This window comes from Homo sapiens, chromosome 11, assembly GCF_000001405.40.
Source record: "Homo sapiens chromosome 11, GRCh38.p14 Primary Assembly".
NCBI classification, from domain to species: Eukaryota; Metazoa; Chordata; class Mammalia; order Primates; family Hominidae; genus Homo; species Homo sapiens.
The window spans coordinates 21,087,744-21,112,629 of NC_000011.10; the positions used below are offsets into that span (position 1 = coordinate 21,087,744).

General features: G+C 40.6%; 1 protein-coding gene across 4 annotated transcripts in view; it reads left to right on the forward strand.

The window, feature by feature from the left end:
* NELL1 (neural EGFL like 1) overlaps positions 1-24,886 on the forward strand; it is a 906,136-nt gene that overhangs the window by 418,193 nt on the left and 463,057 nt on the right. The window lies entirely within an intron of this gene.

Here is a 24,886-nt window from a genome sequence, read left to right on the forward strand (position 1 = left end):
TCCTGACGGTTTTTTAAAAAATTGATATGTATTAGTTATATAGCTGATTGTTTTTGTAAATCAGGTTTGATTGGAACATAGCCACACTTACTTGCTTATGCATTACCTATGGCTATTTTTATGCTACAGTGGCATAATTGGGCAGTTGTGTCAGAGACGTGTTCCAGAAAGACTGTTACTATCTGGCCCTTTATAAGAAAACTGCTAATCCCTGTCATAGTGCAGATTTTAAAGTTTGCCATCCCTAATTCCCCAAAGCAAATTGTCTATCAGTCTTCTATGATGACAGCTTGTTTTCTGTGAGTCCCAGTAGCTCTGTGTGTGTGTGTGTGTGTGTGTGTGTGTGTGTGTGTGTGTGTGTGTATCACTGAATAAATTTTGTAGCTTCAATAAAGGCTATTGTTCTAGATTTTATGTACCTGGCCATAGGAGTTTATAGATGACCACGACCATACCCTCCGGGACATAGAGAATGTGCTTCAAAAGATACATAGCAGCAGTTTGGGCAAAATAATAATCGTGATAGAAGTAAACTGATATTGACAGAGTGCCTCTGTATTGCTGGATCTGTGTTTCACAATGGTTTTTTTCTCATTATCATAATTACTATGCAAAGTACAGTTAGAGTTTCACATGAGGAAAATAGGGAACTGAGGCTCTGAGAAGTTATTTTCTTAAAACAACAAATCTAGTGAGTCCAGACTCAAACCTGCCTTTGGCTCCAAAACCCATATATGTCCTTTCTATCACCACATTTGGGCTCTTCTTGGGTAAATTATACACATAAGTCAGACAAATTCAACAGATTTGTATTGATAGCAACAAATCATTTTTTTCTTAACTTTACACACCATCTTATACTGCATGTAATCTTATGCTGCCTATACAGGTCAAGTGACTTTTTTTTAGCTGCGAAGTGAGAAAGTATTAGTTTCTTACCACGAACTGCTATTCATACCTCACGTCTAATTTTTTTAAAGTGTATCTTCAAAATGGTTATAGAGGGCAATGTTCATACTCTTTGGGAGATTTGAAACATAGGTAGAGTGAGACATACCCCATCAGAATTTTCATCAGCATTTAATTTTTCAAAGAGGTACGAAGTCCTTCAAAATGCCACAGCTAAAGGTTGTTGGGGTCATGGGGAATTTGAGATCAATTATATGGGTAGCCTGCTACGATTTATCATTTGAAGATAGCATCTATGTGAATTTTAAGAGAGGCTAGTCAATATCACAGCACAGAGACAGGACACAGCCAGTATAAGAGTATTAGACATAAAAAAGAGAGAAGTGAAGCCTCCCTACTGTGGCCCCTCATGAATGGGGGATGGGACATAGATAAAAATGCTGAGTGCTATTTTAGCATAATTGCTTAGAGTAAAGCAAGGCTAAGACAAGAATTACTTATTTTTCAGTATAATAATTCAGTGTCTATCCTGAGCCAATAGAGGAATCAGATGTAATGGCTTACAAAAGTGAATCATGTAGTAGCCAAGTGGAAATTGGTTTAATTACATTAATTTGTCTCATTTTTCATTCTCCAAGGTGAGTGAAAAGCTTTTATGAAAACTAACCAAAGTGCTAATCCCTTGAAATTCATCCAAACATTTAAATAGCATTACATAAAATTATCAATTAGATTAGAAGGAAAAATAATTGTGGATGAATGTCTTCTCCCCTGTGGTGCATGTCTTCTCTCTTTGAATGGTTTCTTATGGACAGCAATGGTGGGCTATATATAATGAAACAAACCCCCCTCAGTAGGATGCATATTTGTACGGCTAACTATATAAATTTTGTCGGAAACAAATCAAAGACCAAGACAAAATTAACAAAGGCTGTTTATTCGTAAACTTGTGGCAAGGTAATCCATCTGCCGTTATTTGTTTCTGCAAGCTGCAAAGATATCAGAAAGGAGAGTAAGTTTTATAGAATTAAAAGAGGAAAGATTGAGGCAGTCTCTGATTGGCAATCATTCTATAGGGTGCGATTTTAGGACGCAGAGGAGACTTTCTCATTCATCTTTAGGAATATTGGTAGTCCTTGGTTGATGGCTAGGGAGCAAGCTAGCCATTTGGGGATATTTCAAAAGAGGAAGGATTGTTCAATCTTAGGGATGGAGGACTTTCTGTGGTTGGCCATTTCCTGGAACAAGTGCGGGCAAACGAGGTGCTTTTATTGTGGTTAGGCTTTCGTATGGTGCTTATTTGAAAGTGAGGGTCTGCCATGGCAGGCAGTTTCTCAGTGATTTCTTACTAGCTATAGTGGAGGAGAGAGGCAGGGCTTCCTATGGACCATGGTGTATTTGTGAGCTATCTTCATCTCTTATTGGAGATTAGTTTCCATTTTGCCACTTCCTGTAGTTTGAGATGTACAATAATACAGAAAATAAATAGAGTCTACAAAGAAGAGGAATGGTCAAAGAATGGGTGTTAAATGGCCCAGAAACATTGGTCTCAGCTGGGTTTATAAAGGCTAGTTCATCTTTCCAGTATTCAACGACCTCATTTGTTGTTGTTGATGGTGAGGGTGTTAGCCACAAAATTATGGTTAACACTCATCTCTAGGAGGGTAAGCAAAATATAGTACAGCCATGATGTGGATCATACATAATAGAAAAAGGCATTGGGGTTCTCCCTATTTGCCTGTTCAGTGTTTATTTCTCTAGTTCTAACAGAGCTATTTTGGCTCTATTAAAAAAAGCATTTATGTTCATGGTGTGGCCATGTATTTCTAACAAGCAGCAGTGAACTTGGGGTCAGGGGTTTGAGATTTGGGCTCGGCTCTGTCACTTTGCAGCTGTGTGACGTTGAGCTCATGGAAAGACCTGGTATATTGAGCAAGACAAATTAGGAGGGTTGAGAACAATGCCATAAATGCAGAGAGGTCTGCTTAAACTTTGGCTACCTCGACCTGCTTACTTTTCACTTATTTTTATGTGGATCTTAACAAATACCTTCATGAGTAAGGCTGATGGGGGATTCTTTCTGTTAGGTGAGATTTGAATTGAGGCAAAACCTCCAGCTCCTTGGGAGGCAAATGAGAGCTTTACCCAGATATAGGACATATATGATTTTTCTTAATCAACTGTCCTATTATTGGATATAATCTCTTTATGGATATCATATAACTGAAAGAGCCTGGAGTGTCAAAACAAAATAGACTTGGATTTCAACCCTGGCTCTGCCATGTGCTAAGCATAAGAGCCTAGGAAACTTAACTTTTCAAACCTTAGTTTCCTTTTCTGAAAAATAAAAAATGCCTTGCAGAATCATGTAGATTAAAGATGATGAATACACATTTTCTGGCACATAATAGGTGTTTAATAAACTGTAGCTATTTTTATATGACATAGATTTTGCCTCAGGCAACATCAGGAGGTCCATTTCTGGCTCAGTATCTCCTCAATGATAAATATCCCCTTCTCTGAAGATCTTTTCTGGAGCTGGGAAATATATAACATTATCTGGTAGATTTTACCCCCTCTATTTAAACAGCCTAGATAAAGACCTCAGAACATTTTTTGAGCATTATAAAGAATGCCTTGAGGAATTTCCAGCTAGTTAAAAACTGGCCTTTATATAACTCTGGTTTAAATAACTCAGTTATGTGAGAACGGGGACTCAGCGAATAAAGTTATTTCTAAGCCAACAGCGAATGCATGGAAACATGGATAAAATGGATGATAATCTGAAAATTCATTTTCAACTTTAGAGAGCAGATATTTTTAAATTTTTAATGCATTTTCAACTAACAGACTAGGCAAATAGGGAAAATGATCATTCTAGGGTCTACTGTTATCTCACCATGCTTCTAATTTTGATTTTGATTTTAATATATAACATATTCACCATACGTCTTATCCATTGCTGTGTTTGTTTATCCAGCTATCCATCCATTCATCCAATTATTTGTCCTTAGTCATTTGTTTTTAAATGTTATTCAGCCCACATTCGATACTAGATTCCATGTGTGCTGAGGGTTAAAGATACAGAAATGTAAGACATCCCCTGTGTTTAAAAAAAATTCAGGCCATTGAAGTAGATGCATGCACAATGACAATGACAATATAATTGAACTTTACAGAATTTAACTTCATAAAAACTGAGAAGGGATGGTGATTCTTCTCTCAGGGTAGGCCCTAAGTCAAGGACGTGTACAAGGTACCATAGGGGGCCTAGTGTAAGGATGGAGGATGGGAAGGCAGAACTTTTTTGTGGAGTGAATCTCAAGATGGATTTTGAAGGATGAGAATATATTTGCTCAAGGAACAGGTGAGTAGAGCATCCCAGATGGAAGGAACAGGATGAGAAATGGCACCGAGTATTCCAAGGTGATGTGATTTTTTTAAAACACATAATATCTACTGGATGGCTTTTTCATTTTCTTGGTTCAAATCTGTCAATAGGACTCAGTAAGTAGTTCAGGATTTTGGTCAATAGCAGCTTGGATTAGAAGGGCAAGTTAGGTAGACTGAAAATATTCATGGTTAGTAGAAGGACAGTGGGAACAGTGTCTATAGGGACAATAGCTCAGTGGTTAAGGGTCAGCACCCTGTAGCTGGCTGACTAGCATTAGACCTGGATCTAGTAGGTTTTGGCTGTACAGTCTTAAGCAAGTTACTTAACTATTCTGTGCCTTAGTTTTTCCCATCTGTAAAATGGAATGAATAAAGATACTATTACATGAGGTTCTAGTGAGAATTAAATGAGTTAATACATGTAAAGGGTGTAGAACAATGTCTGGCACGTGGGAAATGTGCAGAAAGAAACTGTGTATTTCCTAAAATGATAATGATGATGATGATAATATATGCCCCCTAGAGAGGAGAAAAATTGAGGCCCATCTGCATTTTAGGTACAGCTCTAGGAAATTTACATACCTGATCAATTTGCTGTCAAAAAAATCCAGTGAGGGTATTTCTACAAAATAGCCATTTGTAGAAAAGGAAACAGACAAAATGAATGTGTGCAATGTTATTACATAGCAAGGTACAGAAGCTGAATCTACATCAAAGTCTACTTATCTATGGTTAATATTATGTGGAGACCTGAGAGCTAGAGAACTTGCTGATGGGAAGTAGTTGGGAGGCTTTGGGACCTAGAAGGCCTAGGGATAGCTCTAGGATGATAGCATGTAAAGGAGAATCTAGATGCAGATGAACGCAGAAATCTAGGTGAACAGACAATTCTCTTCTAGGTGGTCTGGCGGGATCAGAGCAGAGAAGAGTCAGCTTGGAGTCTGGTATACAAGTCTTGTTTTCTGTGAGCAACAGGAACAGGGCTAGGCAGGCAGTGGAGAGCTACTGAATGTTTACCATTGGTTCAGGGGTGGGAGGAGGAAAAGCCCGATTTGTAGTTTATTGATTTCTTTGGTGTAAATATTTCCATCAACAGGCCAATGTGAAATCACTGACTGTGGATTTGGGAAGACATGTGCAGAGTCAGCTTTCATGAGCCTGTGTGAACTTGGGGAAACATACCACTGAAGCCAGGGCCCCAGACTGAGATGCAAGATGACAAACTGTAGGGATTATTCTGGTAACCCACAAAGTCCATCTTTGCCATTTGGGCAGAGTCCTACTGATTGATTGATTTTTTTTATTTTTATTTTTTTGTTATCATGATGCAGTCACTACTAGTTGTACTTCTTCTTTGGCCAACTCTCTAGCATTCAATTTGGTCCCCAACAAAGATTGTACTTGTCAACTGAACCATACACTGCCAGGTTCGTCAGGCCTTTCATATTGCCTCAGATCCTCTCCTGAGCCTCCTGTAGCCATACAGCCATCTCTGTTACTGTATTAGTTTGCTTTCATGCTGCTGATAAAGACATACGAGAGACTGGGCAATTTACAAAAGAAAGAGATTTAATTCGAATCACAGTTCCATGTAGCTGGGGAAGCCTCATAATCATAGCGGAAGGCAATGAGGAGCAAGTCACGTCTTACATGGATGGCAGCAGGCAAAAAGAGAGAGCTTGTGCAGTGGAACTTCTGTTTTTAAAACCATCAGATCTCATGAGATTTATTCGCTATCATGAGAACTGCATGGGAAAGACTTGCCCCCATGATTCAATTACCTCCCACTGGGTCCTTCACACAACACATGGGAATTCGAGATGAGATTTGGTTGGGGAAACAGCCAAATCATATCATTCCACCCCTGTACCCTCCCAAATCCCATGTCCTTGTATTTCAAAACCAGTCATGCATTCCCAACAGTCCCCCAGAGTCTTAACTCATTTTAGCATTAACTCAAAAGTCCACAGTCGAAAGTCTCATCTGAGACAAGACAAGTCCTTTCACTAATGAGTCTGTAAAATCAAAAGCAGGTTAGTTACTTCCTAGATTCAATGGGGGTACGGGATTGGGTAAATACAGCCACTCCAAATGGAAGAAATTGGCCAAAGCAAAGGGGCTACAGGCCCCATGGAAGTCTGAAATTCATCAGGGCAGTCAAATCTTAAAATTCCAAAGTGATCTCCTTGGACTCCATGTCTCACATCCAGGTCATGCAGATGAAAGAGGTGGGTTCCCATGGTTTTGGGCAGCTCTGACCCTGTGGCTTTGCAGGGTACAGCCTCCCTCCAGGCTGCTTTCACAGGCTGGCATTGAGTGTCTGCATCTTTTCCAGGCACATAGTGCAAGCTGTTGGTGGATCTACTGTTCTGGGGTCTGGAGGATGGTGTGGCGCTCTTCTCACAGCCCCACTAGGCAGTACCCCAGTAGGGTCTCTGTGTGGGGGCTCCAGCCCCATATTTCCCTTCCACACCGCCCTAGCAGAGGCTCTCCATGAGTGTCCTGCCCCTGCAGCAAACTTCTGCATGAGCATCCAGGCATTTCCATACATCTTATGAAATCTAGGTGGAGTTTCCCAAACCTCAATTCTAGCAAGCTTAACACCATGTGGAAGCTGTCAAGGCTTGGAGCTTTCACCCTCTGAAACCATGGCCTGAACTCTATGTTGGCTTCTTTCATCGGTGGCTGAAGAAGGCTGGGACACAGGTCACCAAGTCCCTAGGCTGCACATAGCACGAAGACCCTGGGCCTGGCCCACAAAACCATTTTCTTCTAGGCCACTGGGCCTGTGATGGAAGGGGTTGCTGTGAAGACTTCTGACATGCCCTGGAGATATTCTCCCCATTGTCTTGGGGATTAACATTTGGCTCCTCATTACTTATGCAAATTTCTGCAGCTGGCTTGAATTTCTCTTCAGAAAATGGGTTTTTCTTTTCTATCACATTTTCGGGCTGCAAATTTTCTGAACTTTTATGCTCTGCTTCCCTTATAAAACTCAATGCCTTTAGCAGCAGCCAAGTCACCTCTTGAATGCTTTGCTGCTTAGAAATTTCTTCCACTGGATACCCTAAATCATCTCTGTCAAGTTCAAAGTTCCACACATCTCTAGGGCAGGGGCAAAATGCTCCCAGTCTCTTTGCTAAAACATAACAAGAGTCACCTTTGCTCCAGTTCCCAACAAGTTCCTCATCTCCATCTGAGACCACCTCAGCCTGAACCTTATTGTCCATATCGCTATCAGGCTTTTCATCAAAGCCATTCAACAGGTCCCTAGGAAGTTCTGACCTTTCTACATTTTCCTGTCTTCTTCCGAGCCCTGCAAATTGTTCCACCCTCTGCCTGTAACCCAGTTCCAAAGTCGCTTCCACATTTTTGGGTATCTTTTCAGCAGTGCCCCACTCTACTGGTACCATTTTACTGTATTAGTTTGTTTTCATGCTGCTGAGAAAGACATACCAGAGACTGGGCAATTTAAAAAAGAAAGAGGTTTAATTGGACTTACAGTTCCATATGGCTGGGGAGGCCTCACAATCATGGCAGAAGGCAATGAGGAGTAAGTCACGTCTTTTTTCTTTTTTTTTCAAGACAGAGTTTTGTTCTTGTTGCCCAGGCTGGAGTGCAATGGCACAGTCTCAGCTCACTACAGCCTCCACCTCCTGGGTTCAAGTGATTCTCCTGCCTCAGCCTCCCAAGTGGCTGGGATTACAGGCATGCACCACCATGCCCAACTACTTTTGTATTTTTAGTAGAGATGAGGTTTCAGCATGTTGGTCAGGCTGGTCTTGAACTCCTGACCTCAGGTAATCCACCCGCCTCAGCCTCCCAAAATGCTGGGATTATAGATGTGAGCCACTGCACCCAGGCAGTCACATCTTACATGGATGGCAGCAGGCAAAGAGAGAGCTCGTGTAGGGGAACTCCTCTTTAAAACCATCAGATCTCATAAGACTTATTCACTGTCATGAGAACAGCAAGGGAAAGTCTTGCCCCCATGATTCAATTACCTCCCAACAGTCTCTCCCACAACATGTGAGAATTGAGGATGCAAGTTGGGTGGGGACATAGCCAAGCCATATCAGTTGCCTTTGCCCACTACCCAGATCACCAGGCCTTTTTATGACTTACCCTCTTCTAGCGCCAATGTCCGGTTCTATTTTTGTGTGTCCTAGGAGCTGATTCTTCTCTCTGCCTGTTCTTTTCCCACCCACCACACTGTGTTCTTTGGAAACCTTATTGCATTGTAAAAAAACGTCCCCTACATCCTCATTGAACTCTTCACAGAATGTCCCTCTGTCTCTCAGCCTTTTTGAATTCCTTTGGGGATACAGCTCTCCTACAGCTCTCTGAGTGGAGGTTGTATTTTCTCCCAGAAGCAGCATCAACTTTTCCAAAGACAGCTTTGCTGCATCTAGAGTAATTTCTTCCTTCCTCATACAAAACCCTTTCTCTTCTGAAGCCCCAGCCATCTGCTTATAACACCTGTTATCCCTTCTAATTGCTGTCAGTGACAAATCTCCTGGCCACTCCCCCTCATTTGTTGAGGTCTTTGGCACCTACCTGCTCAGGCTTTATCTCTATCATAAACTGTACCATCATTCTAGGCAGAAGTCCAGCCTTGAAGATTTCTATTTTGGGGACTACAATCATCTTCACTCCATACCACTTCCATATGCTCTTTTGTTTGTTTTTTCTCTTTTTTGATACGGGGTCTCACTCTGTCACCCAGTGGCACAATCATGGCTCACTATAGCCTTGACCTCCTGTAAGTGATTCTCCCACCTCAGCCTCCTAGGTAGCTGGGACTACAGGTACACGCCACCACACCTGGCTAAGTTTTTGTATTATTATTATTTGTAGAGACGGGTTTTGTTGTGTTGTCCTGGCTGGTCTTCAACTCCTGGGTTTGAGTAATCCTCCTTCCTTGGCCTCCCAAAGTGCTGGGATTACAGGCACGAGCCACCACCCCTGGCCTTCCTAATGCTCTTGACCTTGCCATTGCTTAACTACTCTACTCCTAAAATCATAAATTCAGACTAACCTCCAGGTAGAATCTTTCAGCCCAAAGTTTTTGCACACTCTCACTCCACTCATCAACTCGCTGCAGCCAGATTTCTACGTTCATTCTACTTGTACTGTTCTTAACGTAGTCACCGATGCTCTGCTGACTGTCAGATTTACCCTTCATCCTGCTTTCAAAATGACATTGTTGGATATAAAATGCTCCAGGAATAAATGCTTGGTGCCGTGAAGTAAAACCAGCACTCAGGCAAAAGTTTAATTCTCTCAGCAAGGCAATGTATTTCTGCAGAAGGGTGCCACTCGCATCAGTCAAGATTGCAAGAGCACAGAGAACAAAGGACACCAGGGGGTTTTTATATCCTGGACGCAGTCCTTATCTCTTTGTCCCTCCCTATGGGCTGGGGATGGACTGCACAATCTGAACTGACCCAACTGGCTACTTGTACATATTTTCCTAAATGTACTGGGGGAGGGGGATGTGAGGTACAGAGGTGGAGTGTGTGAGATGTGCAATTTCGGGGGAACAATGGGTACAGGTAGCCGAGGGAACAGATGTGAGTTATTGATTAGAGCTGACGGGAAGCAGGGTAGGCTGTTTACAGCAACTAGGGGCAAGGAAGAATAAGAAAGTTGAGTTTGAGAACAAAGGATAAGGAAGTTAACAGGCTAAATCCTTTGAAGAGAAACTCAGAAAGATTTATTTTGTCTTACAATGTGTTAAAACTGCATGAGTTATCATGTCATTTCCTAGCTTAAAAACTTAAATAATTGTATATTAGTTTATGCATTCATTCAGAGGCATAGAACAGTGAACTAAGCAGTCAAGAAAACACTGCTCTCAAATGCACATATCTCATTTGTGTTTTTTAAGAAAGAAAGAAAAACATTTTTAAAAATCTCCCTCCCAACTCCAAAAAAAAAAAAAAAGCTACCCTGATCAGTTTGTAGTTTCATGCAGAGCATATATCCCCATTGTCCTCAGGATGAAGTTTACACTCTAAAGACATTCAAGGTCTGCCTGGATCTGACCTTCCTTATGCCACAGCTAAGTTCTGGTTCCTAACACCAGCTTCCAATTCTGTGAAGTCACATTCATGGGTGGGGCTTCTTCATGCCCTGTGTCTTTTCTATGGTAATTATTTTTCCAGGTATTCTTTTCTTTTCCATTTCTTACCTTCTCCTTTATCCATCTTTTATGACATCTTGTGTCACGACCTTTTCTAGATAGGATTACTTATCACCTTCTTGTGACAGTTCCATGCATATTTCGTACATGTCAGGGTCCTTTATTTTTACCTCTGTCTCTTCTTATTAACGGTGAAAGGCATGGCCAAGCCTGCCTAATCTCTGTAACCTCATCGCCCAGCATAGCTCCTGGGCAGCTGAGCTCCTAAGAGCAGGTGAATATCTAAGGGCTTGTGTAGGACTCAGGTAAACACTCTCACCCTCAGAAACTCATAGTGAAAACACCTACCTGGCTCTGTCCTACCCCACCCAAAACAGTAGAGTAGTATTTGGAAAGACCAGTGGAAATTTCCAGTGGGACTTTTTCCCTGATGGTACCACTTTGTTGAAGGTCTTTATGTTGAAGCAGGTGCTCCAGGGTCACAGGTGTGTGAGGAAGAAGAAGCTGTCATTGATTGAACTCTGGCCCATTTTTTTACTCCAGGTTTTTCCCCCAGTAAAACTTTTTAGATCAGCATTTGATAATAAATACCCCCCAATTCCTTTGCTACCCTCTACCCTTCTCTCTCTCTCTGTCTGCCTCTCGTGTATGTGTGTGTTTGTGTATCCTAAAATTCTAAAATTTGTTTGTAACTCTCAGGCATGTCTCTGAGTTAGACATCAACATATATCTAAAAGGAGTGATCTCAGCATTTTTTAACCTTCAGAAAATTATTATTATTATTATATTTGTGTATTTTAATTGTATTTTTCCAAAAACTCGTTTCCTTTACCTAATGTAGGACGACCAATTCATCTTTGTTATCAGCCTTTTATTTATTCAAGTCTCTTTTATTTTGCTACTCCTAAAGAAGGTTTCCACTCAAAAGGCATAAATTCTGAGTTTTTTTAAACTTAGGAGTTTTAATTTCTTTCACAATTTATTGGAAAAAGACACTGAACAACACACACACACACACACACACACACACACACACACACACAAACACACACACACACACACGGATCAGCTGTCATCCCATGGCATAGTCCAAGGAATAGCAGCTGGGCTCAGGCAGGGAAAAGGAAAAGTCAGTTTGCCTGAGCAGGAGGCAGCAGCCCTGGGGTTGTCAGCAGGGAGCAGCAGTCCATGGAGGAAGAGAATGCCTCTCTCATCTCATCTTGTGAAGGGACAGTCAAGGGGCATTGGCTGGCTCGGTGGATGAGTCAGGGTAATCACTGACGGGTGGCAACACCAACTTGAGGAGACGCTGGCTTTCGCTTAGGTCCCCAAGGCTGGCTAGCAAAGCCCAGTAACCTGTCAAGAATGGCTTCCTTTGAACCAAAAAAATGAGAGGCAGCAGCTTGAGACATGTATTGAGGCATAAGACGTGGTGCAAGGTATATTATGTGCACCAGCTCACTGGATCTTCACAACAACCCTGTGTTCCTCAGATGTGGAAACCCAAGTTCAGAAATCTTAGGGAACTTTCCCACAGTAACACTAATAGGTAGAAAATCTGGCATTTGAACTATTTGTCACATTTTTTTCTTTCCAGCTATGTGACATTCAGCTACTCAGGGGCATGCCTGTTTTCTTGTCCTCTGAGTGAAAAGAAATACAGGCCTGGGATTGGTACCCTTTTTATTTTTCAACAACTTTACTGAGATATAACTCACATACTAGGCAATTTACCCATTTAAAGGGTACAAATCAATGGGATTTCAGTATATTACAGTATTTTACAAATTGTGCTAAAATGTATAGAACATAAAATTTGCCATTTTAGCCCTTTTTTTTTTTGAGACACAGAGTATTGCTTTGTTGCCCAGGCTGGAGTACAATGTCACAGTCTTGGCTCACTGCAACCTCCACTTCCCGGGTTCAACTGATTCTCATGCCTCAGACTCCTGAATAGCTGGGATTAGAGACATGCAGCACCACGCCTGGATAATTTTTTGTATTTTTAGTAGAGACAGGGTTTCGCCACGTTGCCCAGGCTGGTGTCTAAATCCTGAGCTCAGGCAATCCTCCCGCCTAGGCTTCCCAAAGTGCTAGGATTACAGGCATCATCCACCATGCTCGGCCTCCATTTTAGCCATTTTAAGTGTACAGTTCAGTGGCATTAATTACATTCACAATGTTGTGCAACAATCATCGCTATTTTCAAAGCTTTTTTATCACTGGATACAGAAACTCTGTGCTCATTAAGCATCGACTGTCCAATCTTTTCTCCCTTCAGCTCTTGAAATCTCCCAGCTCCTGGAAACCTCAAATTTATGGTGGAACCACAATATGGAAAACAGCTTAGCGGTTTCTCAAAAGCCTAAACATGGAATTACCATATGATCCAACAATTCCATTTGTAGACATATACTCCAAGGAACTGAAAGCAGACACTTGAGGAGATACTTGTACACCAATGTTGCAGCATTATTCACAACAGCCAAAAGGTGGCTTGTTCTAATCCCAACCACATATAGAGGGCCCAAGACTCTGCTATACCATAGCAGCTTTGCTTAATTCTATTTTATATATTGTTCTTCCAAGTTAGGTATTATTCCAGATAGAGACAGTATAGCAAAGTACAATGTTTCTTTCTTTCTTTCTTTCTTTTTTTTAATTATACTTTAAGTTTTAGAGTACATGTGCACAACGTGCAGGCTAGTTACATATGTATACATGTGCCATGTTGGTGTGCTGCACCCAGTAACTTGTTATTTAACATTAGGTATATCTCCAAATGCTATCCCTCCCCACTCCCCCAACCCCACAGCAGGCCCCAGTGTGCGATGTTCCCCTTCCTGTGTCCATGTGTTCTCATTGTTCGATTCCCACCTATGAGTGAGAATATGCGGTGTTTGGATTTTGTCCTTGTGATAGTTTGCTGAGAATGATGGTTTCCAGCTTCATCCATGTCCCTACAAAGGACATGAACTCGTCATTTTTTATGGCTGCATAGTATTCCATGGTGTATATGTGCCACATTTTCTTAATCCAGTCTATCATTGTTGGACATAAGGGTTGGTTCCAGGTCTTTGCTATTGTGAATAGTACCGCAATAAACATATGTGTGCATGTGTCTTTATAGCAGCATGATTTATAATCCTTTGGGTATATACCCAGTAATGGGATGGCTGGGTCAAATGGTATTTCTAATTCTAGATCCCTGAGGAAATGCCACACTGACTTCCACAATGGTTGAACTAGTTTACAGTCCCAACAACAGTGTAAAAGTGTTCCTATTTCTCCACATCCTCTCCAGCACCTGTTGTTTCCTGACTTTTTAATGATCGCCATTCTAACTGGTGTGAGATGGTATCTCATTGTGGTTTTGATTTGCATTTCTCTGATGGCCAGTGATGATGAGCATTTTTTCATGTGTCTTTTGGCTGCATAAATGTCTTCTTTTGAGAAGTGTCTGTTCATATCCTTCGCCCACTTTTTGATGGGGTTGTTTGTTTTTTTCTTGTAAGTTTGTTTGAGTTCATTGTAGATTCTGGATATTAGCCCTTTGTCAGATGAGTAGATTGCAACAATTTTCTCCCATTCTGTAGGTTGCCTGTTCACTCTGATGGTAGTTTATTTTGCTGTGCAGAAGCTCTTTAGTTTAATTAGATCCCACGTTTCTTTCTTTCTTTCTTTCTTTTTGAGATGGAGTTTTGCTCTTGTCATCCAGGCTGTAGTGCAGAGCAGTGGCGTGATCTTGGCCTCCCGAGTTTGAGCGATTAATCTGCCTCAGCCTCCTGAGTGGCTGGGATTACAGGTGCTTGCCACTGTGACCAGCTAATTTTTGTGTTTTTAGTAGAAACGGGGTTTCACCATGTTGTCCAGGCTAGTCTCGAACTTCTGACCTCTGGTGATCCACCCACCTCAGCCTCCCAAAGTGCTGGAATGACTGGCATGAGCCACCACACCCGGCCAAAGTACAATGTTTCTTAACCTTTTTGTTAAAAAATTATTGCTTCCCTAAGGAGTCTTTTAAACATTTTTACCTTATCCCTGTCCCATGAAATTTTATTACCAGAGATACACTATCTGTTCATGAGCATGGCCCTTTGGGGAACCACAGACCTTTATAATATCTAATATCACCACCATTACTACCACCTCTAGACCCAGTTTTTCACCCCCTTAGAGGTAATGTCACTCTAGTTGAGACTGCATGGTGTAGAGGTTAGAAGCACCACATTAGGAGCCAGGTCTGCCTGGATTTTTGTTTGGCTCTGCCCCTTACCTGCTGTATGACCTTAGACTAGTTGCTTAGTCTCCATGTCTCAATTTCTTTATCTGTAGACTTGGGATGCTAAAAAACAATACCTACTTCAAAGGGTTATTATGAGGATTAAATGAGTTAATAATATAGGACAGCACCTGGCACTTGCAAAATGTTATACAAATGTTACCTGTTGTTATTTTTAACAGAGTTCTTTCACTTAAAAAATGACTTAAAATCCACTGGACATTATGGGCACCAGATTCTCTCCTACTTCCCACCTTTTGCATGGTGTTTTCCGTTCCACCTTTGGGTTGTGTTTTCAGTGATAATATGAATAATTATTATGCATTTAAAATTGTTTTCTCTTCTTTCCCCATCCATTCATTTTTGTCTCAACAATCACATTGCATAGGAGTCTGGACTTAGTGATTTTTTAAGAACCAGCTTCAGTAGTTTATGGTTTTCATAATAAGGTCATAGATATAGTCACATATATAAGAATTTGGAATTGGGAATAAGGTTGATTTCAGTTAAAGAAGCTTATTTCATCTAAGGACTCTCTACATGGCGAAATACATGAAAAAGTAACGTAACTAGTCTTCTTGAGTACATTTAGCTGATCATCATTCATCATACAGGTGGTAGAGGACAAAATGTTTTTAATGAACCGAGGTTGTGTTCATTAACTACCTGCTCATAGGTCCACAGGCCCTTGTTTGTTTGTGTAATTCAGTCTGGTGTTTAATCATTGGTTAATTTGATCCTGTAGTGAATCAGATCTAAACCTCTGGCACCAAATCATTTATTTTTAAAGGCCTAAAGCCTGTTCACTCTATTTTGACTGCTTGAGGGGAGGGGTGAATGAATAATTTGACCAAGTAACTGTGGGAAATTGCTATCGAATTAACCAAGAAATGTGAATACTTTTAAAGGGGAAGCTAAGTTTGCCTTGTAGAGAGGCACAACAGAGTAGATGCCAGGGGCTAAAATTCCCCAGAGGTCACCTTCCTGCTAGTTAATCTCTTGAGCCTCCATAAGGTAAAAATGTTAATAATACCTACCTGTGTGGTACTTGTAAAGGTGAAATGAATTGATACATGCAAAATGCTTAAAACTATGCTTGGCATAAAGTGGTGGTTAATAAATGGTACCTATTATTATATAAAAAGGTACAATCAGAGATAAAGAGGATATAGACAGCTTTGCTGGTAGTATTGCACTCTTACATCTTGTTTACTCTTGACTGAATTTTCTTTATCTTTGCAAAACAAGAGTAGCTAGCTAATGGAATCAGAGAGATAGGAAAGACCATCAATGTTTTATGAAGGCATCTTTCTTGCATTTTCAAGACTCAAAACAATTATTATTTTCTGGGGGATTCCTTCCCCAGTCTCTTTCAACGGAATTAGCCTCTTCTTTCTCTTGTAGAAATTTTATTGTTTTTACAAAGTTCATGTTCTTGTGACTGCCTCTCTGCTGGATTGATACAGCTTCTGTGAAGGCAGAGACCACATCCCACTGACATTTGGAAACTTTACGGCCTATAGCATTTGGTAGCCTCTCAATATTTTTTGAATTTCCTTTTCCAATTTCAGGGAATCCAAAAGACGATAGTAGCTTTTACATTTCTAGGGTGTTCTTTGATAAGCCCAATGGACTGAAAAGTCTTAAGTCCATTGGACCTTTTTGGAAGCACTCACTGGGTTTGTTGGTACCATCAGTTGAAGCAGAGTTCACACCCTGACAGATTGAGGTAGGCTGAGGCACATCCTAAGGCCAAGACTGAATTGATCACCCTTCACTCAATGTGTTTCTTTCCGTGTGGACATTTAACATCAGTTTTATGGACACCCTCAAAAGTCAGAAATACCAGGTTGGGAAGAAAGTCATGGGGTGTTGTCTTATGATGCCTTTCCAGTGCCAGCTAGAAATTCGTATGCTGTGATTCCCAGGGGCACAAAAAGATATGTTACTTTATGACAGTGTTTGATTCTGAAATTGAGCCTAGCAAGGGGAAATAAAAATGACTTAGCATGAATTCCCAAATATTTAACATAGCTACATGTGGAAAATACTTGAAAAATGTCAGCAATCCAACACTCTAATTTGTATTTCATGGTGTATGTAACCTTGTTGAAGAAGACTTCTTTACCATACATGGGATGACCAAAATGTCGTTTGAATTTTTAATCTGAAAATATTTGATCTGGTAATCAACACATCTGCTTGACGCATATGTTAGAAGATGATGTTAAAATTCATTTCACTGGGCACCTGAGAAATGTAAAGTGTTATGTTATCATTATTAGTCAGCTCAAGCTGCCATAACAAAATACCATAGACTAGATGGCTTGCACAACAAATGTTATTTTCTCACATCTCTGGAGGCTGATAGTCTGGGCGCCAGCATGGTCAGGGTCTCATGAATGCTCTCTCTGACTTGCCTTTTCCTTGTGTCTTCAGAAAGAGAGCACTATATGTCTGTTCTTATAAGGGCACTAATCCCATTGTGAAGGCCTCACCCTCATGACCTCATCTAATCCTAATTATCTCCTAAGGGCACCATCTCTAAATACCAACATATTGTGAGGTAGGGCTTCCACATATGAATTTGGGGGGGACACAGTTCAGTTCATAGCAGTTATCTAGGCATCTCCCTAGATTGTCTTACTGAAGCAGCATCATTGTCTGGGGTAAATACCCAAGGTTTGTTGCCTCATGCCAAGGAAATCAAGGACACAGACACACGTGGAGTGGGGTTAAGAGTGGAGGTTTAATAGGCAAAAGAAAGAGAAAAGAGAAATAGCTCTCTCTCCTGCAGAGAGAGAGAGGGCCACCAAAGTGGGAATTTCTGCCCAAGGCAAAGTGCACAGTGTTTTATAGACAGGCTTGATGAGACAGTGTCTGATTTACATAGGGCCAAAAGACTGGTTGAACCAGATGTGGTGTTTACGTCACACTCAAGGAAGCTGGCCACCCCACCTTAATCTTTTATTATGCAAATAGGGTCTCTACCTGGCCATTGCCATGTTGCCTGCTCCCTACTGTGAATGTGGTTGACAAAGAAAGGAGAAGATGGAGCCACCATGTTGGACATGCCTAGGGCCCGGATAGCCTTTTCCTATTGGCACAGCTGCCAGCATTTGCCCGTGCAAGCTTCCAGCTTGCTTATCTGTGTCTGCAGCTCGATTTTATGGGTTGCTCTTTGTTAGAAAAGAAATTGATTTTGGTGCTGCTTTTCATTAAAAGGAAAATCTTACCAAGGACTTCCTTACCCTCACTATCTGCCTAAATAATTTCTTCCTAACTCCTATATCATTACCTCTCCCCTCCCCTCCCCTCCCCAACCTTCCCCTTCCCTCCTCTCCCCTTCCCTCCCTTCCCCTCTCTCCCCTCCCTTCCCTCTCTCCCCTCCCCCTCCCCTTCCTCTCTCCTCTCCTCTCCTCTTTATTCTTCCCCCTTCCTTCCCTCCCTCATTCCCTCCCTCCCTCCCTTCTTTCCTCCCTCCCTCTCTTTCTTCCTTTCATCTTTCTTCTTTCTCTCTGTTTCTCTCTCCTCTTGGCTCACTAATGCTCCTTGTGATAACATGCCTTAAGGCACAGACCTCCATGGATTAAATCTGATAGATAGCTATGTTTTGCTTGGTTCAAAATGTTTGGAGAAAAATATGAAGCCAATATTTAAAAAATAATGCTAAGATTTTCACCTTCTCTAAAAAGATCAGAGACCTAGCCCACAATTCCTGAGAGGCAATACAGACTGTGGAGTTGTGCTGCCTGAACTCCTCTCCTGGCAGTCCAGGTCTGCTTCCTAGCTATGTGACCTTAGACAATTTACTGCATGTTTCTATGCCTCTATTTCCTCATCTGTAACATGAGGATGATTCTAATATGCACCTCATAGAGTGTGAATATTAAATGAGTTAATCCATTTAAAGCACTTAAAACTTCCTGGTGCATAGAAAATACTATATAAGCACTGTTTCTTATCACACCTTCCTGGTACTATTTCACTAGAGCTACAGTTTTCTACAGTCCACACTCTTCCTATTGTTTTTCTGCCACTGGGGTTAAGTGTCACTTTTTATTACCATTGGCCTTGCATCGTGTTTTTTCTCTTATAAAAGAGATCCATTCCATTGTTCTTGGAGTAGGAAAATGAGAAAGAGGAAAAGAAAGAGAGAGAGAGAGATAGCTGGCTTTCTGTGTTAAGAAAAATAAGAAAGACTTGATTTCTTTGTGGAAAGGACATGGTTTGCATATATATTTTTTTACCTGACTTCTGTAGGTATTTGATTTATATTCCTAGGTTCTATAGGCATTTGTTTTTCCCCCCTTGCTTTAGGGAGGACGCTATAATTATAGAAAAACATGGAACATTGAGTAAAGCACTAATTTCAGAATTAGAAGACTTTGATTCTATTCCCAGTGCAATGATTATCTGTGTTCCTTTGGGCAAGTTGGAAATTTTCTCTGGGTCTTTACTTTCTCATCTGAAAAAGGGAAGAATAATTTACATCTTGTGTGCCTCGATGTTTTTATTGTTTTTAATTTTAAAAGTATTTTTAGAGCAGTTCTACGCTCATAGCAAAACTGAAAGCACAGAGATTGCCCATATACCTCCTGCTGTTATCCGTTATCAATATCCCTCACCTGAGTGGAACATTTGTTACAATTGATGGACCTTCACTGACATGTTATAATTACACAAAGTCCGTAATATACATTTAGGGTTCACTCGTGGTGTTGTATATTTTTTGGGTTTGGACAAATATATAATAACCTGAATCCACCATTACAGTATCATAAAGAGTATTTTCACTGCCCTAAAACCTCACTGGATTTTTATAAGTTCAAATCAGAGATAATAGGCCCAATTAAAAAAAAATCAGTATGACACAAAGGGAAAGTAGTGATTGTTCTAATATACCAACCAGTTAGCCAACACCACTGTGTTTTTATAGCTCATGATCTCTGCAAAGTCAGTAGGTTCAAGTCTGATAAAATTGCTCTGCAAGTTATCTTACCAGTCCATGAAGAACTTGCCAAGAGCTATGCTTTTGTGTGGATATCTGCTTGTTCACCCTAGTTGCTCTTAGTTTTCAGGGGAGATGTCAACGCAGTTGACACAGCTATCAAGAAATAGTGTGGGGGCTCGGGTCATCTAGATAGTATTTTCCTGGACCTGTATCTTGGGAAAGGCATCTGGAACATCTGCAAGCTCCTCTTGCAAAAAGAGGGGGTGGCCCAAGAGAAGCTGCTCCAGAAGCAGGCTTGTATGATGTGGACAAAATACCTGAATGTGTCAAGAACTTTAGAAGTGATGGTTGGCTAAAGGGTTTCTGGTCCAACTCCCTGAATGTATACGTGGGAAAAACCAAGGTCTTGAGAAGAAAAGTGACTTGCCCAGTGCCACAGTTAGCTAAATGAAAAAGCAAGAATAGAACTTGACTCTTAACTGTCAATCCAGTGTTCTTTGTCCAACAGTTAGTGTGGAACAACTATCCTCTTTGGAGTCATAAGAACCTTGGTTGAAATTTTAGGCACTCTACACGTAGTATCCGATGTCAATCCCTGGGATGGTTAGGAGCAATGAGATGAGAGGCACACAGTGCTTGACCAAAAACATGTTCTCAAGAGCTGTTGATCTTCTTTCCTTTTTAAATGTACACAGGGAGTGGGGAATGCCTTTTCCCCTCCTAAGTATATCCCTCCCTGGGTTCTTTTTCTAGTAAATGTTTATGGAAGAAGTCTGAGTAGATCATATCATTTTATTAAGAGAATTCTTTGCATCGCTTCTATCGGTTACCCAGGCCCTGCCTTCTAATTTAATGATGATGATGCCAAATTTGAGTCTGTGTTTGTTCTGAACTCTTATGCAGATGGAACCTGGTGATACATGAAGAATCATTATGCCACATCAAGTTTCATTTTACAGTCCATAAGTACACCTTTTAAAACAAAAACAAACTATTTCACCATCCTGGGGAGGGATGTAAATCATGTATTTTTATTACCTCAAAAGACCACCAGAAAATGAGCTCTAATATTTCAAAAGCGACAAGCAATTTATATGAAAGAATTGCAATTTAAGCCCCATTATACTCAAGATGATATATGCTGCAATGGGGTTTATAGATGTTTCTCTAACAATAGTTAATAATAAAAACCTTAGGACTCTTTGTTACTCTTTTCTAATTCCATAGTCTCAAGCGTTATGAGTAGACGCTGTGTCAGTCTGTGAGTTCCAGCTGGGAGCAAAATGCTTCTGTCTGTTTTGGGGCCTTGGGTCACTGGAGCCTAAAGTGTGAAAGTATAAGGATTTGATTTAAAAGAGCCAAGGAAGCAGTGATGCACGGAGCAGAATTGCCATTTTAACAGAGAATGTAATGCCAGAACAAATTCATGAATGGCCTTGCACACGGATATAGAATTTGGAGATCTATTTGTTTCCATACACATCATGATGCATCTAACATAATCACAGTCATAAACATCAGCTACAGCGAACATAATCATAGCATCAAAATGTTATTGAGTGCTAAAACTGGCACAGTGAGAACAATGACAACTTTGTGGTCATATTGTTTGGATCCAGACCCAGGTTTCTATGCTTACTGATTTTGTACTTGGGCAAGTGAAGTCACCTGATAACCTCCGAGCCTCAGTTTCGTGGCATGGAGATACCTACCACGAGGAGTCAAGATAAATGGAAGGATGAGATGCTCCATATAAAGTATCTAGCATAGTGTCTGATACCTAAAAAACAGCATCTATTTTTTGGGTATTTACCAATTGCCAGGGGCTGTTCCTAGTTTTCCTTTATAAGGTACGTACTATTAGACTCTTAGAATATGGGTATCAGCCTGTGCCCAAAAATGTGCTTTTAAAATAGTTCGTCCTTCCAGTACATGTCAGGTTAACTGTGGTTCTTCCTAGTAAAGCTTTCTGGACTGATTCAAATTTTTAGCGTGAACATGGATTTGTGTATGTTCAACTTCCACTCTGAGATTCAGCTTCAGGCTTAGCCTCTTCTTGTCTCCTGGCTTCTGGATGAATATGACCATTGCTCAAGATATCTGCTTCAGGCAGAGTACTGTCACCACCTGGGCAAAGGTCAGACTGCATTTCAAGTCTGTGGTTAGCATACTAATTGCTTTGGTCCAACTCAATTTCTCTCTTTAAATGTCAGTTTGTTCTTTCATTAGGGAGTTATGATTTTTGTTTTGTAATTATTCAATACCCTTCAGAGCCTTTTTTCTGTGAACAAAAAGCAGCCTTTGTCCTAGACTCATCTATAAAATTTATAAAATCTCAATCATTCGCTATTTCTGAAGATTGTTTTCTCAGGATAGCCCAGCTCTCTAAAGATGTTAATTCCTTTTTTACTCCGTTTATAATCAGATTTGCTTTTGATACACCCTTGAATCCTATTGAAACTGTCTTCTGGGTTGTGTGTTTCCCTGAGGATGGAGAGGCAATCCTTTGGCAAACGTGTTGCCATTCCATCCTCTGTTCCCATCCCAAAACCGTGAGAGTTGCCAATTTCTTTCTTTCTTTTATCTTCTTGTTTCAAGAGAATCAGCTGGAGTACTCCACTTCACTTTCTCTCTCTTCTCCCCACCATTTTTACCACAAGATAGCTTTTATATCTGGTGGTTACATGATGAAGAATAAGCAATGAAGGCAAGATTGTGACATTTTAATTTTCTGGTACATTCATCAACTTTTCATCTTTATTTCAGTGCTTTCTCTGGACTAGTACCAGGAAATTATTAGATATGCAAGAGCTGAAATTAATAATGGTATAAACTGAAAACCTACTCAAAAACACATCAGCAGAGCATCAGGGACGTGTGGGCACAGAGTCTCAATGACATGTAGAGAGCAAGGGTTGGATTAAATCCATGTAAAAAATTCTCACTGGGGTTTTCTAACCATCCCTTGTTTGATTTTTGAAAATATTTTTATTCAGGGCCTTGGAATCTTATGAAACAAAGAAATAGCTTGGCTGGCTTGACTCAAAATAAGCTTGTTATAGCCAAGTAACTCCTTCAAATCTAGATGAGGCAGAGGCCTCTCAGCAGCTTGGTGATGGCCTAAGAAAAATGAGCCAGGAGGTTTCTCTGGAAGGTGTTGACAAGGGTCCATGACAGGGAAACATTCATTGCAGTCAGCAGGCTGGCTGGCAGCTGTGGCCCATGGGCTGAAGATTGAATTGCCTCTAAGGCAAGTCCTGACTAGTTTCTCATCTTAAAGGATGGCTGGGCATCCCAGCAGAGTGAGATGGAGTTCAGTGTGGCTGTATCTCTGTGAGTAAAATACCAATGTGATTTAGCCTTCAGCGTACTCTGCTCCAATCAATTCTCTTCACTACAGCCAGAGTGATATTTTTAAAACAGAGAAATTGAATTGTGTTACTACCCTGATGAAAGTCTGAGCTCCTTCACACGGCCTGCAAGGCCTGCCGGAATCTAAAACTGGTAATATTTTATGAACAGCACACTAATGTCCACAAAGAATCTGGCCCAAGCTTATTTTTCCAGTTTCATTTCAAATACGCAAAGCTCCTTTTTGTAATTAAGTCTTCTCAAACATTCTTTTCTGTCTGGTAGGTTATTGCTCTTCCCTTGGCCTGTTTCACTTCTGTTTCATGTCTCAGATGAACCATCACTACCAGAGAGAATCCTTCTCTGACTCTCTCAGAGTAGGTCAAATTCCTCTTGTTGAAAGATCTCACATCCTTGGTAGAATTTATTACACATTTTGCTCAATGCCTTGCCTGTCTGCGAGGTCTATGTGGCATTTTGTTCATCAGTCCGCCTCTGGGCTTAGTAGAAGCCTAATTAATGTTCTTTGAATGTACATGACTAAATGATGCTTTCCATTTCTAACTTGACAGACAAAAACTTTAGCCTCTATAGTTTCCCTACCTTCATTCTCTACCTGATGAATTCTTGCTCATCTTTCAAGATGAAGCGTAATTATATCCTTTCTTGAGATAACTTTTGTAGTCATTCTCTGCACCAATCAGGGAAGGCATGGTGGCTTAAGTCAACAAAGGCATATTTCTAGCTCATGCAACAGGTATATGGTGCTTGCTTATGCAACAGGTATATGGTGGCTTGCTCCTCACTTGGGGGCCCAGGTTGAAAGAGTCTCCATGTCTTTGCTTCCATGGGTTACAAGGCAGAAACAAGAAAATGTGGTAAGCTGGATGCTGGCTCTTAATCTTTCCACTTAGAAGTGATATGCTTCCACTCAGATTTCATGATCAATCATGAGATTAATTTAAACCATGCTTAAATTTGAAAAGGATGGGGAAATACAATTGTGCTATGTGCCCAGAGAGTGGAAAACTGGTAATATTTTATGAACAACACACTAATGTCAAGCAGCCCTCTCTAATACCTGGCTTCTCTTCTTGTTTCCAGCCTCTCACTTGTTATGCCTATTTTCACCCAACCTTTCATCGTCCTACCAAAGACCTTATAAGCAACAATAACTAAATCACTTCCAAAATCTTAATGTCACCATACTACTCTATGACTCCTTCTTTTAGTTTTCCATCTCTTGGATTCCAGTGGTCTGACTGTAATAATTCCTTGCCTTCATCAGGATTCTTGGTGGAAGTTGAGTTCCCCAGGAAGCAACCTCTGTGGTTGGCCTGCAGGAAGTTGATTGCCTGAGTTATTTCACTGATTTCTGGTGTTTTGTTCTTATTTCATGGTTATGAAAGTCTTGCTAACTGTGGGTCTCCTTCTTAGATCTCAATGACCTCGCAATAACTTTTATTTATAGGCTGTCAGATCTTTAGCTCTGAAAAGAATCTGATGTTATTTCAATATATTTTATTAGGAAATAAATCAACTTACTTTTCTTTTAAGATAAATAGATTAATGAGTTTCCTAGTGACTCAATGTAGCCATTTTTATCCTCGGTTTCTGTACATTAATAATATTAAAGCTCTAATGATTATTGTAATAGAAATACTGTATTTGACTAATCACCATTTTCAAGAAGCTTTCATGAAGTAAATAATAGTAAATAACTTCTGAATTCAAATCCCAGGTCTAGCGTGTTCTAACAGGATGACTTTATGCCAGATATTTAACTTCTCTAAGCCCCAGTTTTCTAGACTATAAAACGGGAGTAGTGTTTGTATTTTGCTCATGGGATTGC